We start from the raw sequence: 17856 nt of genomic DNA, 5'->3' as shown, positions 1-17856 counted from the left end.
TGGGTGGATATTTCCTATCTTTAAAATTTTATGAGTCAATGAGACTACCTATACAGTGAGAAAACAGCCACATAAAATTTGCAATCCATTTATAGGAAGTAGTCATGTATACTTTGGAACTTCAGGTAAGGGCTTACTCTGAAAATTAATCAAGTTTTACAGAATTAAAAATATAACCCAGTTACATATATTTACTGTTGTTTAGATTAATAACTATACTCAGTAAAAGCAAAGTTTTAAAAAGCACTTCTTAAATTATTTGTTTCATCCTCCTATGAGCTAGGCTGCACTATTGGTCTAACTTTACTCTCTGCCTAATAAAGAAGATAGATAGCTTTCTTAAAAAAAACCCAAATTACTCTACAGTCTTTTGTACAAAAAATGTGTCTCAGGGAGGTGCTTACTCTTTGAGATAGGACTAGTGCAGAGGTAGTTTAGAACCCAGTTTTCTTCTCATCAATTCATGACATATGCAAAGAGCCAGACACCTGGGCCTCCTCAAGTTTTGAATTATTTGAATCCAAAGCTACAGATATAAATGCTCTCATTAGAGTTCTTCCCTATGCAAAGGTTTTCCTGCTATCTACTTAATCAATTCACACTTCTTATCTTTACAACCTGGACCCTCTCTGCTCTTCTCATGACTTAGTTTTCCAGGCATATTTCCTTCTCACCCCCTGTGTCTAATGTGTCTCCCCAAACAGTATTAATTGCTATGTTTCCTGGGCCATCAAGTGTAACCAGTATTCTTCCTGTCTTTGTGTCCTTGCCCATGCTGTGGTTCTTGCCTATATGACCTTCTTGTCCATCCCTGCCCTTCAAAATATTATGCATCCCTCAGTTCAAACACCATTTGCCTCATGAAGATCTCTCCAATCTCTCCAATCTCGTGTTTCTACTGTCAACTCTGTGATATTTCCTTCCTATGGTTTCTTTAACATTTTACTTCTCTTAAGAAACAGTGTGCCTAATGCTTCAGATGCTTATGGACTTCTCTATAACTTGATAGGGGAAACACACAAGAAAGCCCAACATATGGTAGCTTCTCAGTATATGTATGTTGACTTTTCAAGATCCACAAATATGATTGCTTTAAGGGGGTAATCTGGCCCATAGGGTTTATGAGACTCATTGGAAAATCTTAACTAAATTCCTGGTTTGGGATAAAAATCTCAGATCTGTTTAATTTGAGGAGGTGAAGCAGGTCAATGCTTCAAAAAGAGCCAAAGAAAATCATGAAACACCTTGGCTGGTATGAATATGCTCAAGTTCTTGCAGTGACAAAAAATATACAAAACAATCCATAGAGAAAAACAATAGGCTTTGCTTGCAGTCAGCCAATACATTCCTACTTGTGAAAGATATGCTCCATCTGATATAAGGCTGACCTATAACCTACGTCCATCAAGGTTAAAGAATGAAGTAGATTTTCTTTTATTTTGTAGTTGTAGGCCACACCTGGAGCAAATATAAGAATATTCCAAGACAAATAAAAAGTGTTTAATAAAATAATTAAAAACATGTGCCGCTCCTTTATAACTCTGATTTTTAAAAATAACAAAAATTTGGGCCATGCATCCCCTATTCTAACTTTTAAAGACTTCAACTCCACGCATTGCTCCAATCCAAATAATTATGCATTGTAAAAGAATAGTTCTATCATCTCATTGTTTAAATACAGCCTTCTCTGATGCTTGTTATGACATTTTCTGGTGAGTATTGCACATGACAAAGACATGTTAATAAACAAAGCAGGTAGTCTGAAGCATGTAACCTTATATATTGTTGAGCAACTTGACACATTTTTCCATTACACTTAATAATACTTTATGTGGTGAGATTAAGTTTTATATGTTACTAAATGTTACTCTTTAAATTTTTTTCTAGGGCCTTAGGAATCAATTGGACCTTTCATAATATCACAGTTTTACCACAAACATGGGGAACATTTCAAAATAAGAATAGCACACAAATGATTCAGAGGCATTTGCCCTCTAGAAACTGTAAAGAAGTTATTCAGATCCAAATAATTCTCTACAACCAGTATTATAATGAAAAATTGCAATTTGGCATTGGAATGTTTTGCTTTTAACAAATAATTGACAGTAATTGTTTTTACCTTATTTTTATATTTATGGGTTAAAGATCAATCCTAAAATATTTATGATAGTAGCATAACAAATATGCAGATATCTGATATACCTAATTTAGAGATTTATCATCTGATAAGAGTTTAGATGCCCTGAACTTTTTAGACGCTTTAGAACTTTCTGAAGCTCATAATATGTTGAAAATGAAGATGTAGGATTAAAAAATTATCAAGCCTGGGAAGGTCCAGGCTGCAGTGAGCTGTGATCACGCCACTGCACACTGCACTTCAGCCTGGGTGACAGAATGAGACTCTGTTTAAAAAAAAAAAAAAAAAAAAGCCAGACATAATGCTTCACACCTGTAATCCTAACACTTTGCAAGGCCAAGGCAGGAGGAGCACTTGAGCTCAAGGAGTTTGAGACCAGCTTGGGCAACATAGCAAGACCTTGTCTCTATTTAAAAGCTAAATATATAAATAAATAAACAAATAAATAAAATTTTTAAAAAGGAAAAATTATCAAGATTTCTTTTGATCTTCTGAAAGAACCTACTACAGACTACTAGAAAGTTTTGTCTTTTTTTCTTTAAGAGCTCATTTTTCTAGCTGTCTTCATGTGTTTTTATTGTACTACTATTGTTGTTTTATTCTTAGTTGTTTCCAGTGAGTGTTATGTCTTTTCTCTACAAATATTTGTGTTGTGTGAGATACCCTAGCTGACCTTTAAATACTAACAAAGCACCAAAGTCCTGTCTCACTTTTTTCCTGAGAAATGTATACCCAAATCTCTAGTGCCTATTTCTGATGCCACAATCCTCATGAAGCCCTGACACTTATCTGACCTAATTGACTATTAACTCATTTTAGCCTTTATATTCCATACAGTGCACACTTTCTGACCCATCCCTTTCATGTCGTCATTAGCTAGATCAATCTGTTAGTACCTTATCTTGAGCCTGGTGACATAATCAACTCTAACACCCCAGTACCACTATCTCAAATATTGCTCAAATACAAATCTTGGGAGACTGCCTGGAAACAAGTAACCTGAGGTTAGGTGAAGGAGAAGAAACTTTTTTTTTTTTAAAGGTGAAAAACCTGGCCACATTCTGGGTGGCCAATGGAATATGGTAGCTCCACTTATTGTACTAAGCTCTTCTGCTCTCAGGAGTCATAGCATCAACTGTGTCACTCCTAGTAATGAGAGGGGAAGTCATGAGTGAAGCATGGGTCAATGAAAATGAATAGGACTGAGCCCAATCAGGAGACCTTCATTCTAGTCCTGCCTCTGCCACTAATTAAGTGACATGAACAGGTCCACAGTCTCTTGGAACTTCAATTTCCCCATCACTAAATTGAGAGAATTAAGACTGAGATGATTAGATTAGATTAGCCTCTCCTAAGCGCTTAGAGCACTTCTTCTTCCAAAAATTAATAGATTCTGCAAATTATAGGCATTCTGAAAATAGACGTGCATAGGCATTCTACAAGAACTCAAATAGGCTGGGTGCGGTGGCTCACGCCAGTAATCCCAGCACTTTGGGAGGCCAAGGTGGGTGGATCACCTAAGATCAGGAGTTTGAGGCCAGCCTGACCAACATGGTGAAACCCCATCTCTACTAAAAATACAAAAATTAGCCAGGCGTGGTGGCATGTGCCTGTAATCCCAGCTACTCGGCAGGCTGAGGCAAGAGAATTGCTTGAATGCAAGAGGCAGAGGTTGCAGTGAGCCGAGTTAGCGCCACTGCACTCCAGCCTCAGCGACAGAGCAAGACACTGTCTCAAAAAAAAAAAAAAAAAAAAAAGAAGAACTCAAATATATTTTTCAAAAGCTGAACTAATCAAAGTCATGCAGATCTCATTGCCACAGGACTACCCAGTGATTGGATTATGTAAATATTTTAGAAGAGTCTCTGTGCCATTTCCTCAAGTCCAATAATGGACAACATTTCCCCCATTTTAAACCAGGATGCTTATTATATTTGATCTGTTCATTTAAAATTATAGAGTTGCTTTGCTCCTCTTGAAAAGCTGTTGTTATATCAATGATATGGTCTTACAATTATGAATTTCTCAAATATTGTAATATGCAGACTTTACCAAAACTTATTTTTCCACAGAATTGTTTTTAATAGCTTCTCATGAAACTAGGGCCCAAAGAGGCAGATTTAATCTGGTTCTATACCCGATTTTGAAAATATCATACTTCCATTCCTCAAATAAAGAGAAAACTAAGCTGATGAAATCAAGGACTATAGGAGTAGAGAAACACTTGCAGAAAGGTGGTATAGGAATCTCCAAAAATCAGGGGCTCCTGAAAAGCAATAAGAACAATGGCAAAAATAATCATCAAAATTAACTTTTTTCAGAACTCTGGCAATAAACCAAAGGCTTACAACAACCCATAGAACATTAACTCAAGAAAAACGGCTGAATCTCAATAAGAACAAGTGAGTTATGTGGGGTTTTAACTTGCCGTATGTCAATACACTTCTCTCTAGCTCTGCAGTAGCCTTAAAAATCAGCAGACTCACAATGACAGTGGCTGTGAACCAGGCAGCCTAGCAACTGTTAGAGAGGGAAGGATGTATTTGACGTTTTCCCAAATGCGGCACCCTCAGACAATTGTCACTCCTTGACTTATATGGAAGCTGCCTTAAAGGGCTGTTCTTTATTTCACTTGAATTAAAGCTCACTCAGTGAGAACCTCTGCCCTTAGGATGTTTGTCAAAAACAATCAGGGACAGTAGGGTTACATCACAGCTGTCTAAGGGAGTGATACCAGCTGGGCTAAACAAGAAGCTTACCAAAAAAGTTTAGAAGAAAATCTGGTAAATGAGACTTCCATGGAAGGCCACAGAGATGTGTAGTGCTGTGCACCTATTAGGAAAGACTCCATAAAGCTCTACATAAGGCTCTATCTCTCACCTCTGGTTGACATAGAGGCTCTGTGGAAGCAGAGTTAAAAACTACTTGAGTGTTCATAAAATGCCTTGACACCTGTCCAGTCATTAGCTGACCACTATGCTACTTAGCAGAGACTTCAATGGCTGAGTACAACAGGTAACATAGACTTGACCTGCATTACTTCACAGAAGTTGCTAGATAAAGAAACAGCAGCAGCAGCAGCAACAGCAAAACAAACAGCAGCAATAACAAACCCTAGGAGAAAGGGTCTGAAGTCCAGAGTTTCCACATTATGTTATATTACATGTCCAGTTTTCAACAACAAAACAAAAATAATAAATGACATGCCAAGAAACAAGAAATTGTGGCCCATAAATAGGAAAAAAAAAAAAAAAAGCAGTCAATAAAAACTGTCCATGAGGAAGTCCAGATGATTAACTTACCAGACAAAGACTTTTAATCGGGGCTACTATAATATATTCAAACAACTAAAGGCAATTATGTCAAATAAATTACAGTATGAGAATGATGGGTCACCAAATGGAGACCAGCAGTAAAGAGATACAAATTATAAAGGGAACAAACTAGAAATTCTGAAATGGAAATAAAAATCCACTAGAAGGGCTCAACAGCAGATTTTAACAGTCATAATGGAAAAAATAACTTGAAGATAGGTCAATGTACATTATGCAATCTGAGGAACAGAATAAAAATAGAACAAATAAAAATTAACAGTTACCTATAGAGTATATGAATATACATATACAGAGTATCCCTTATCCAAAAATCTGAAAATCCAAACTCCAAAATGTTCCCAAATCTAAAACATTTTGAGCATTGACATGACGTACAAAGGAAATGCTGATTTCAGATTTTAGATTTAGGATGTTTATGGGTCCTCAACTGGTATGTATAATACAAACATTCCAAAATCTGGCTAGGCATGTGGCTCATGTCTGTAATCCTAGCACTTTGGGAAGCTGAGGCAGACAGATCACTTGAACCAAGGGGTTCAAGACCAACCTGGGCAACATGGTGAAATATTGTCACTACAAAAAGTACAAAAACTAGCCAGGTGTGGTGGTGTAAACCTGTAGTCCCAGTGGGAGAATCACTTGGCCCCAGAAGGTTGAGGCTGCAGTGAGCTATGATTGTGCCACTGCAGTCCAGCCTGGGTGACAGAGCAAGAGCCTGTCTAAAAAAAAAAAAAAAAAATATATATATATATATATATATATTTATATTTATATACTGGGCACAATGATTCATGCCAGTAATCCCAGCACTTTGGGAGGGCAGGGAGGGGAGGATTGCTTGAGCCCAGGAGTTCGAGACCAGCCTGGGCAATATAGCGAGACCTTGTTTCTACAAAAATAAAAAGAATAGCCAAGTGTGGTGGTGCACATCTGTAGTCCCAGCTACTTGGGAGGCTGAGGTGGGAGGATCGCTTGAGCCCTGGAGGCAGAGGTTTCAGTGAGCTGTGATTGCCCCCCTGCACTCCAGTCTGGGTGACAGAGTGAGACCCTGTCACATTGTCTCAAAGAAATTTTTAAAAACAGAAAAAAAATTCCGAAATCAAAAATATCAAAAATCTGAAACACTTCTGGTTCCAATAATTTCAGATAAGAGATACTCAACCTGCATGCACCTATAAGTTTAAAGACCCTCATAGCTTATGAATATAACATTTGTTATGTTAATAATAAATGAAACTAGATTAAGCAGCACTTTCACATCACCATTTATTTATTATACCAGGTTTTTGTAATTATGAACTATTTAGACTTATTTATACCAATACATTTTTATACGTACCATATTTTTCTCCCCCTCATTTCCTGTTTTCTATTGGAAATTAATACTTTTTTTAATTTTTGCCAGTAATTTTTTTAATCTTCAACTTTTATTTTATTTCAAGTTCAGGGTGCATGGGCAGGACGTGCAGGTTTGTTACATAGGTAAATGTGTGCCATGGTGGTTTGCTGCATAGATTATCCCACCACCTATAGGTATTAAGCCCAGCATCCATTAGCTATTCTTCCTGATGCTCTGCCCTACTTCAGACAGGCCCCAGTGTTGTTCCCCTGCATGTGTCCATGTGTTCTCATCATTCAGCTCCCACTTATAAGTGAGAACACTTGGTGTTTGGTTTTCTGTCTTTGCGTTGGTTTGCTGAGGATAATGGCCTCCACCTTCATCCATGTCCCTGCAAAGAATATGATCTTGTTCCTTTTTATGTTTGCCAGTAATTCTTAAAGGTTGACAACATGTTTACCAGTTTTTCTTCTAATATTTGCTTTTTTAATACTTGAAAATCCTTCTGGAATCAACTATTTTTCTACTGAAATATAACCTAGAACAATTTCTTCAGTAAAGATCTGTGAGTAGTGATCACTCATACACAGTAGTTTCTCTGGGCACAAGATTTACTCTCAGCCTTTTGGAAGTATGTAGTTTTAACTGAAGAAAATTCCACTGTTTAACTTTACTATTTTTATACAATCTATGTGCTTTTTCTTGTTGTTTTTTAGATTTTCTTTCTTTGTGATATTCTGTATTTTTACAATGTGAATATCAAAATAAATAGAGTTTGTTATGCTTTCCAATTTGAGAATTAAAACTTTCCATTAATTCTGGAAAATTTTTTAGTCACTGTATCTTTCACTATTGCCTTTCTTCTATTTTCTCTTGTGGAGATTGTACTATATGCAGCTTATAATATATATGTATGTTTGTGTATGTATACATATACACATATATATTAAAAGCTGTATCTATATATGTTTGTAAGTACATGTATGTATTTTTATATATGCATACATACACACATACACACACACACTCATACACACACATATCACATGCCACTTAACCTGAAATTTCAATTTTCCATCTCTTTATATTTTTTATTGCTTTCTGGCAAACTTTCTATTTTTCTTTCATCTAATTCTATCTTCAGAATTTTTTAATGAGATATTTAAAACATTAAGTTTTTAATTTCAGTAACTATTTTTTTACTTGGAGAAGTTCTTGATAATCTTTTAAATATCTCTTTGTCTTTTTCCTTACTTTAGAATTCTTTCAGTATGGTTCCTTTTCCTTTTCTATCTTTAAATATCTTTTTTTTTTTTTTTTTTTTTTTTTTTTTTGAGATGGAGTCTCACTCTGTCACCCAGGCTGGAGTGCAGTGGTGTGATCTCGGCTCACTGCAACCTCCACCTCCCGGGTTCAAACGATTCTCCTGCCTCAGCCTCCCGAGTAGCTGGGATTACAGGCGTGTGCCACCACGCCCGACTAATTTTTTGTATTTTTAGTAGAGACGGCGTTTCACCGTGTTAGCCAGGATGGTCTCGATCTCCTGACCTCGTGATCTGCCCGCCTTGGCCTCCGAAAGTGCTGGGATTACAGACGTGAGCCATTGCGCCTGATCTATATCTTTAAATATCTTAAGCATACTTTTAATATGGTCTCTTTCTGATTGTCTTATTTCTTTCCTTTCTCATCATTCTAATTCTAGTGTTTTTAGCATTTGCTGACTCTGTTGTTTTACTATAACTTTTCAGGCAGCTTGTAATTTGATTGAGAGCTCGTCTTCAGCAGGAGTTGATATTTAAATCTTTGGGAGTTCTAAATGCCCCAGTTCTTACATTTACACATGAGAGGACCCTGTGAATTTTAATGAAGCTGGCCAATTGTTATTATAATGTGGGGTTTCTGACAATACAGATAGTTTAAGTTTGAACCGAATAACCAAAGTACAGAGCTGAGAGTTTGATTCCCTATGTGTATCTTTACATTTTTCGTTCAAAGTCTAATACCAATAGCAAATTTCATGGCTTGTTCCACAGTTAGAGAGTACAGGTATTTTATTTCCCTTTTTATACCTGAGTCAGTCCTTGCAGGTGACAGGCTCTATACCGTGTCATCATCTCAATCTCCCTGCCTTAAGGAGACCCAGGGCCAAATTACCTATTGTTACAGACATTAAGACCTCAGGAAGAACTAGGACCCAAACCCAAGTGGGGAAGTCTTAATGTTTTATGACAGCATTAGCTTTCATCTGTGACTTTGGCTATTATTTCTTTATTTGGGACATTTGTGTTGTTTTGTTGGTTTGGTTTGGTTTGGTTGTTTGTTTGCTTGTGTGTTTTTAGCTTATTTATTTGTGTTTTTAAAAATCTAAAATGTAATTAGAGGGTACTGGCTAAATTGATTCTAAATGTTTTGTGTTTTGATTTTGTAAGCATTGAACCCACAGTCTGGAGGACCTGTCTGATATTATTTGGCTCAGTGTCCCCACCCAAATCTCATGTCAAATTGTAATCCCCATGTGTCAGAAGAGGGGCCTGGTGGGAGGTAGTTGGATCATGGGGGCAGATATCCCCCTTGTTGTTCTCTTGATAATGAGTTCTCACGAGAGCTGATGGTTTAAAAATGTGTGGCTTTCACTGCTCTCTCTCTCTCCTTAGAAGAAAGTGCTTGCTTCTCCTTTTCCTTCTGCCATGACTGTAAGTTTCCTGAGGCCTCCCCAGACATGGGGAACTGTGAGTCAATTAAACCTTTTTTCTTTACAATTACCCAGTCTCAGGCAGTTCTTTATAGCAGTGTGAAAACCGACTAATACACTGTCTTGCATGTCTTCTCCATGTATATTTCTTCAAATTTTAGCCTTCCTTTTTCTCCAGACTCACATTTTATATTCAAACTTATTTATAGATGAGGAAAGAAGCCTAGAAAAAGAAGACCCAAAGTTTAACAATACTATGAAGCTGATTCAGAAAACATAACCCTCTGACTCATTGAAATTTTTCTTCTAGTTCTCAACTTTTAGAATAAGCAAATATTACCAAAGTATGAAAAATGCAGAATTCAGAGTCCCAGCCACAGAGATTCTGATTTAGTAGGTCTGAAATAGAGTCCCAGAATATGAGTGTTAAACAAGTACCCCAGTAGATTCAAATATTTGGAATTTGATTTGTTTAGTGACTTCAGACCATAATCTGAGAGATTAGAAAGAAACACAACCCTGACACAAGTTTTTTCACACTTGAATTTATACTTTTTAATTAAAAGCAAAGAAAAAAATCTATTTAATCAAGGGTTTTGCTTATCTTGCTTATAAAAAGTTTATAAAGCTCCCTATTTAATTGTTCACAATATCTTTTCCTAAAGGTGCTGATTTATAAAAATTTATTTGAGCTAAGTCTTATTTTTAAATGGTGCAATAAGAAATATGCATTACCCCTGACGTTATTTGGAAGCTATCTGCCAAGATGATCTTGTCTCAAGAGAAATTAGACAATCCCATAAAATTACCTAGGCATAATTTATAGAAAGCTGAGTCAAGAAACAGGTGTTGTTGAAATGATAAACTTGTCATCTTCCTCACTCATAAGTTTCTAGGATATGAGCCTGTAAATTCTAAATCAGATACTGGGCTCACAAAGATTTATGTCATTTATTTCCTTTTCCTGAGACAGAGGCAGATGATCTATGCATATCTAGCCAGCTGTTCTGCAAACCACATGCGTTGACTGAAAGTATCAGTGGAGATACCAATGCTTCAGTGGCTCCAATGTATACATGTCCCAGCACCTGGTTGATGGAAGCTACTCTTATTTGCATCTCTGTGCTGGGAGCTTGGCTACAATGCTAACTAGCATTCCATTTCCAGATGGCTCCCATTACTACCCAATTACTTTAAACCCTGATTTTATTTCAAGCAATTTACCATTGTCAAGGGTCATCTCCCAGTACAACATTGCTAAGATCAAATATTTTTGGTTCTAGTTCTATGGTTACAAGAGTTCAGGAATGGACTTTCTTAGAGTGATTGATGGACCATTTAGCAAAACCCATGGATAAACTATAAATCCAATATTAAAATTTTAATAAAAGTATAAATAACTTTTATAACAGTTATTCATAGTTATAATAGTTATTTTGTTTTATTTTTTAATTTCTAGCTGTCCTGATAAACAAGTTGGAAAAAAATAAATCCATTCATTTTCTCATTCATTTACTAATTCTTCTGATATTTATTGAAGGCTTATTTTGTGTCTCAATAAGATGAAAAAGGGAATGGACCCTTTCCCTCAAATAACTTGTACCCTAGTAGAAGAGAAGAAAATTAAAACTTATTGCCAAAATATTGTAAAAATATAAGCAGAAAGGCAATGCGTATTAGGTGACAAGGGTTGAAGAAAGTTCTGGGGATTTGCATATCCTTTACATGATTAGGCTATGTTTTCTACTCTTAATATTGATTGGAGATATATGGATTTAAGGAAAAGAAAAGAAGACTAAATTTGAAACTGGATATAATATACTATTTTGATGGATTATTTTCTTGTCTAAGTTTTAGTTTATTATAAAATATAGCACACTCATATAATTAACATGCTCTGCATTCTATAAGGATGTTGTTTACCAGTTTTGCCCACTTTGGGCACCTCTTGTAGGATCTAACAGTAAAACTAGCACACTTTCCCATATTGTGTTTATACAATACACACCCACAGTGCTTGAAGGTTTTTTTTAACATGAAATTTTCGAAGGCCTCAAAAGAATTGGTGAAAAACCACTACAGCCAAAATCTAGAATGAGAGATTATGTATATTTAAATATGTGGGAAGATGGGGGGATGTGGATATGTTTGCATTTTTTCATAAAACTTTTGGAGCACTATTAATACTTTCACATTTGGGGATTATTTTCTCTGTATCCCACAGTATTATATTTTCTAAACCATTTTACTTAGGATTCCTTGCATTAAGGGACTTCCAAAATACTCTTTGCTTTTGTACTTGCTTAAAGTACATTCTACTTTCTCCATCTTTATCAGTTGTTATCTTTTTTTTTTTTAGACGGAGTCTCGCTCTGTCGCCAGGCGGGAGTGCAGTGGCGCGATCTCGGCTTACTGCAACCTCCGCCTCCCAGTTTCAAGCAATTCTCCTGCCTCAGCCTCCCAAGGAGCTGGGACTACAGGTGAGCACCACCATGGCCAGCTAATTTTTGCATTTTTAGTAGTGACGGGGTTTCACCATGTTGGCCTGGATGGTCTCCATCTCTTGACCTGGTGATCTGCCCACCTTGGCCTCCCAAAATGCTGGGATTACAGGGGTGAGCCACCATGCCCAGCCTATCAGTTGTTTTCTATAGAAGATGGTTGCTGTTTTCCTTCAATAGAATCTATAAAGTACCACTGTGTTTTTTACTCTATTCCTGAATGTGACAGCTGAGTGAACCTTGGCCTCCATCCTCCTCCTCTAACCTGAGCACTCACTCTCATGCCTGTGCTCCCTCTGACCACATAAACCCACAGTATGGAAGTGGGGAAGTGGGATAAGAACATTTTAAAATGGCTTTTAACCTGGAAGTGTAATTTCCTGGATTCTCCAGATTCATGATTATAATGCTACCTATGTAACATATCAGTATTTCTCATGGTTATGGCTCAGGAGAATTATTTATTCATCACATCACACCAATTATCATGAGGGCTACATTATCACATACAATTGTTATTTTTCTCTGAGGGCTACCACTAGAAAAATAAATAAATAAAATTTGATACTAACTTCTCAACCAGATTTCTGGGCCCATATGTCTTACAATTTCAACAAACCCTGGAGAGCATGCACTGAGCCATGGCATTAGTATAGTGATTCATTCCTCATTATTATTAGAATATGGTGACTTGAACCAAGAGCCATTAGTCTACTTGTTTTCAGTTATCTTATAATATTAACTTGTTTTGTGAACTTAGAACAGTGTCTACATATGTAAATATCTTCATTTAACTAATGAGTATAATTTCATATATAATAATCAGCTGATCCTGACATACTTTGAAATTTTGAAAATAATTATAAATTATCACTGATGTAATCGTAGACTATTCATAGAAGATTCATATTCCAACTAGACAGTCTATGTTGGTCTTTAGAAAGAATTGCTTTTTTTTTCTAGAAAGTTAGTCTATGAGTCTCTGTACCATAATTAAGATGTTACTGAATGAAGACATAGACCTGAAGGATAGCTTGTCTTTACATGTTCTTCCTAACAGAGTCTGGATTTTTTTTTTTTTACAGAAGTTGTTTATTGCTATGAAAGTGAAATAGCTTTATTGTGGATTTCCTTCTGGTAAAAGAAATTTGTCAATAAACAATAGTGTCTACTCACGTTTCTCTTGTTCTGCTTCCACTCCTTCACTTTCTGTGTCACTTGGCAAGATCCATGGTTGATGAACTACCTGCAATTGCTTTAAGGATTCATCCTGCAAAAGAACACATTTATTTTAGATTAAACTCTGTTTTGATATCATGAACATTAATGTGGATAATCACTTCAATCTTTATGAACTGCATCTTCAAAAACCATCAGAATAATTTCCTCATTAAAAAAAGGAGAGCTCTAACTTTAAATTCATTTTCATGTCATAGACATACTACAAACTCTGAACTCATTTTTTACATTCTTCTTTTAATAACATTTAGAGTCAAGAAACACCTGAACTGTATTCCTTATGAATTAATATTTTTATGGAAATGTTGACACTCATTCTTGGAAACATAATCATGAAATATTCAATATAAAATGGCATAAAATGTGCCTCTTTGCCATCAAGGTTTCAAATTCCCTTTAATGAGAATGAAGATGAATGGGATTTAGAGAACATCTTCGATTTTACTCTCCTAGTATTACTTCACTGCCTCCTTCCTCTTCTCACTTTCTAAAGTTTGTTAACATATTTCTCATATACTTCCTTGCTGCTCTTTCCCTTCTGTCATTGAACTAAAGCAGACCCTCATTATCTCCCACCCTGACTGTAGTAATAGCCATCTGGGAAGTTTTCCAGGATCATGTATCATATCCTGTCTAATTCTCCCACCAGTCATCTGCCAGAGCACGCTTTTTAAGTTGCCATATGATGTAATCACTATGTTGCTTATAATTTTTCAGTGGCTCTATTCATTATTCCCTGGGTAAGATTTAAACTCAAAGCCCTGCATGATCCATACTTGTCTAACATGTTCTATCATACTATTCTCTCAATCCCACCTTGACCACTCCAGCTATAATTAACTGGTAGCTCTACAATGCATTTCCTTATCTGTCTTAAACATTAACACTCCTCTTCCAAGGCTCGGGAGTCACTTCTACTGGAAGTCTTCCCTGATCCTGCAAGGCAGAGTTACTCCTCTATTCCTTTATGTGCCTATTATACCAATAGAATCATACCATGTAATAATTATACTTTCATCTTTTCCGTCCTTAAAAATAATAAAAAAGGTCCTTGAGGTCATAAATAACTTTTTTCACCTATGCATTCCTAGCATCTACTATATCCCTTGCACAAGATAGGGACTTACTAGGTAAACATTCATATAGGAGGAGGTAACGAAGAAAAGAAAGGAGAGGACGAAGGGTAAAAAGGAAGGAGAGGGGAAAGATGGTTCTCCTCTAGAACAAAATAACGACTTTAAATTTATTGAGCCACGACTCAAGAACATGTTTTCAAACATATTTGGAAAATTAAAAACATAAAATCAGTATGATCTGTCAATTCACTCTTTATCTCTCAAATTCACTCATCATCTCTACCCCCTTTCAATTATATTTTTCTCCAATATGAGATATTGTGCTTTATTTTTATTCAGACAAATACTAACAAGGTAAAAATAAAGTTCCACAACCCTTGATACTTAAGAAACATGACACCACCAGTCATTAAATGTCCACTTTGCTTAAAACAGTTCCTTTATGAGATAAATATTCTATCTGCCACGGCTTTCATTTTGATGTCAAATTCTGGAGAAGTTCAGCCCCAATCTAGAGTTTCAAAACAGCACAATTTTCCAGAAGTTTGGAAGTGGAGTGGTGGGTTGGTTGTGTGATGCACAGGATATATTTTAGGGCAGTAAAACTATTCTGTGTGATATCATCATGGCAAATGCAAGACACTAAGCATTTGTCAAAATCCATAGAATTTTATACCATAAGCTTTAATGTATGCAAATGAAAAAAAATCAATTAGGAAGTTGGGGAATCCAAGAATGAATGGCAATATATCAAAAAAGAAAGAACATAAATGTGTTACAGATGTATGAAACAACCTCACTGAAGGGGGAGGAAATAAGGTGCTAACCTAACTAACTTTGAAAATGAGTGGAGTTTGTAAGACCAAAGGCTAAAGGAACTCTACATATGCACTGTACTCGAGATGATAAACTTGCTTTCCATAGGAGTACGGGTTAACAATTCTGAAACCACTATATATGTACTCTGGAAATGAACAAACAGTAAAGTAAATGGATGAGGGGAGCCAGGTTTCTCACTGCTGGTGTGGCAATTTACAGATAAGCAGGGGAAAGAGACTGGAATGATCCGTGCATAATGTATTAGAGTTAAAGACGTCGGTATGAATTTGTGTTTACCTTACTATATATACAGATGGCTACACACAGAAATGTTGATATGTATTTCTTTATTTATTTATTTTCTTTTTTTTTTCTGAGACAGACTCTCACTTTGTTGCCCGGGCTGGAGTGTAGTGGTGAGATAATGACTCACCTTAACCTCCAGGGCCCAAGTGATCCTCCTGCCTCAGCCTCCCAAGTAGCTGAGATTACAGGTGTGAGCAACCATGCCTGGCCCATATTCATATATACACATATGTTTCTCTACTCTGGCACCTGAGAAGACTTAGAAGCAATGACACTCAGTAGCAATTAACACACCTACGACCCCAATCTTGGTTTCTAAAATCATTCTCCAATGAAAGAACCAGGGTTTCTGGATAAATGATTGGACTCCCTAGGACTGAGGGAGGAAATGTACAAGATAAGCCGAACCATCTGGTAGTGCCAAAAAGCAAGAAAGTACTCGAAAACACACACACACACACACACACACATACACACACATACACAATGATGGAAGTATGTCAAAAAGATAAGGGACTAACTGAAAAAGCTGTCATTAGCCAAAGCTAGAACAATTTGAGTAACAAAACACATAAGCCAGTATTGGGTCATTATCCAAAATATGCAATAAATATCTGTAAGTCCATATAGATAAAAATAAATGTTCAAATAAATAAATGAATGGATGAGAATAGACAAATGTATATACAGGAGCATTTCAAATAATTTATGTAAATTCTCCACCCTTAAGGATGTGGGGAATAACTTCCCACTTTTTAAGTGTGGGCTGTGTTTAGTGACCTTCTTTCAAATAGTTCAGGAGGGATAGGGAAAGGATAAAAGTAACTTTACAGTGAAGAAACCTGACAAACCCTATCTCTAGCCAGGTGACCAAGGTCAACAGCAATACAGCATATTGATAGGATGTACCCTTGACAGGATGTGATGAAAATTAAATTTTACCTCTGTGGTCTTCCTCCTAAAAACACGTTAACCCAATCTAATTATGATGAAAATATCACATAAATATCAACGGAGGAACAATTTGCAAAATATCTGAGCTGTACTCCTGATAGCCATTGCGGTCTTTAAACACAGGGAAAGCTTGGTTGTGAGAAAGGGTCACAACCAAGAAAAGCCTAAGGAGACACAATGACTAAATGTAATGTGGATCCTGGATGCGATCATGGAAGAGAAAATGACAGGGAAAACCTGTGGAAAGCTGCACACAGTACAGATATGGTTACTAATAATGTATCAATACTGGTCTGTTAACTGTGACCAGTGCCCCATACTAACATAAAGTATCAGTAATAGTTAAAACTGAATAAGAGGCATAGCAACCTCTGTATTATCTATCTAATAATTCTGTACATCAAAAACTGTTCTAAAAAAGTTTATTTTTAATATTGAAAGTGTGAACCCCAAATATCTGAGATGGTTTCGGTTAATTTAGAAAGTTTTTTTTGCCAAAGTTGAGGATGCATACCTGTGACACAGCCTCAGTAAGTCCTGACGACATGTGCCCGAGGTGGTTGGGGCACAGCTTGGTTTTCTACATTTTAGGGAGACATGAGACATCAATCAATATATGTAAGAAGTACATTGGTTCCGCCCAGAAAAGTGGGGACAGCTCCAGCTTGAAGTAGGGAGGGACTTCCAGATCTCAGGTAGGTGAGAGACAAAAGGTTGCATTCTTTTGAGTTTCTGATAAGGCTTTCCAAAGGAGGCCGTCAGATATGCTTCCTTTTTTTTTTTTTTTTTTTTTTTGAGATGAAGTCTCGCCCTGTTGCCCAGGCCGGAGTGCAATTGCAATGGCACCATCTTGGCTCACTGCAACCTCCGCCTCCCAGGTTCAAGCAATTCTCCTGCCTCAGCCTCCCGAGTAGCTGGGATTGCAGGCACACGCCTCCATGCTCAGATAATTTTTGCATTTTTAGTAGAGACGGGGTTTCACCATGTTGGCCAGGCTGGTCTCGATCTCCTGACCTCGTGATCCACCCGCCTTGGCCTCCCAAAGTGCTGGGATTACAGGCGTGCGCCTCTATTTCAGTGAGCAGCAGCATGGCTTTGAACAGAGTGGGAGGCAGGTTGCCTTCAGCAGTCCCCAGCTTGACTTTTCCCTTTAGGTTAGTAATTTTGGGGCCCTCACGTTTTCCTTTTACAAAAGAAAGCAAAACCAAATTTCAAAATGATTTTCTTTTTCTTTTTTCTTTTTTTTTTTTTGAGACATGTTCTCTATTGCCCAGACTGGAGTGCAGTGACACAAACATGGCACACTGCAGCCTCGACCTCCTGAACTCAAGCCATTCTCCCCTCTCAGCCTCAGGAGTAGCTGGAACTACAGGCACGTGCCACTATGCCTCAATAACTTTTTCTTTTTTTTTTCTTTAACTCATTGTAGAGACTGGGTCTCTCTCCGTTGCCCAGACT

The 17856-nt window shown here is 36.8% G+C and overlaps 1 protein-coding gene across 9 annotated transcripts in view; it reads right to left on the bottom strand.

The window, feature by feature from the left end:
* Positions 1–17856, bottom strand: part of C8orf34 (chromosome 8 open reading frame 34) — a 488651-nt gene that overhangs the window by 18307 nt on the left and 452488 nt on the right. For all 9 annotated transcript variants that reach the window (NR_146186.1, NR_146187.1, XM_047421328.1 and 6 more), the window contains one exon: positions 13181–13274. Coding sequence is in view for 7 of the 9 variants with exons in the window: in XM_047421328.1 (XP_047277284.1) it covers positions 13181–13274 (94 nt within the window). In the remaining 2 variants the exon portion in view is untranslated. The remainder of the gene's footprint in view (positions 1–13180; positions 13275–17856) is intronic.

The sequence above is a fragment of the Homo sapiens genome, chromosome 8, assembly GCF_000001405.40.
Source record: "Homo sapiens chromosome 8, GRCh38.p14 Primary Assembly".
Classification (NCBI taxonomy): domain Eukaryota; kingdom Metazoa; phylum Chordata; class Mammalia; order Primates; family Hominidae; genus Homo; species Homo sapiens.
The sequence above is the reverse complement of the archived record's forward strand: the minus strand, read 5'-3'. Positions and strand labels throughout refer to the sequence as shown.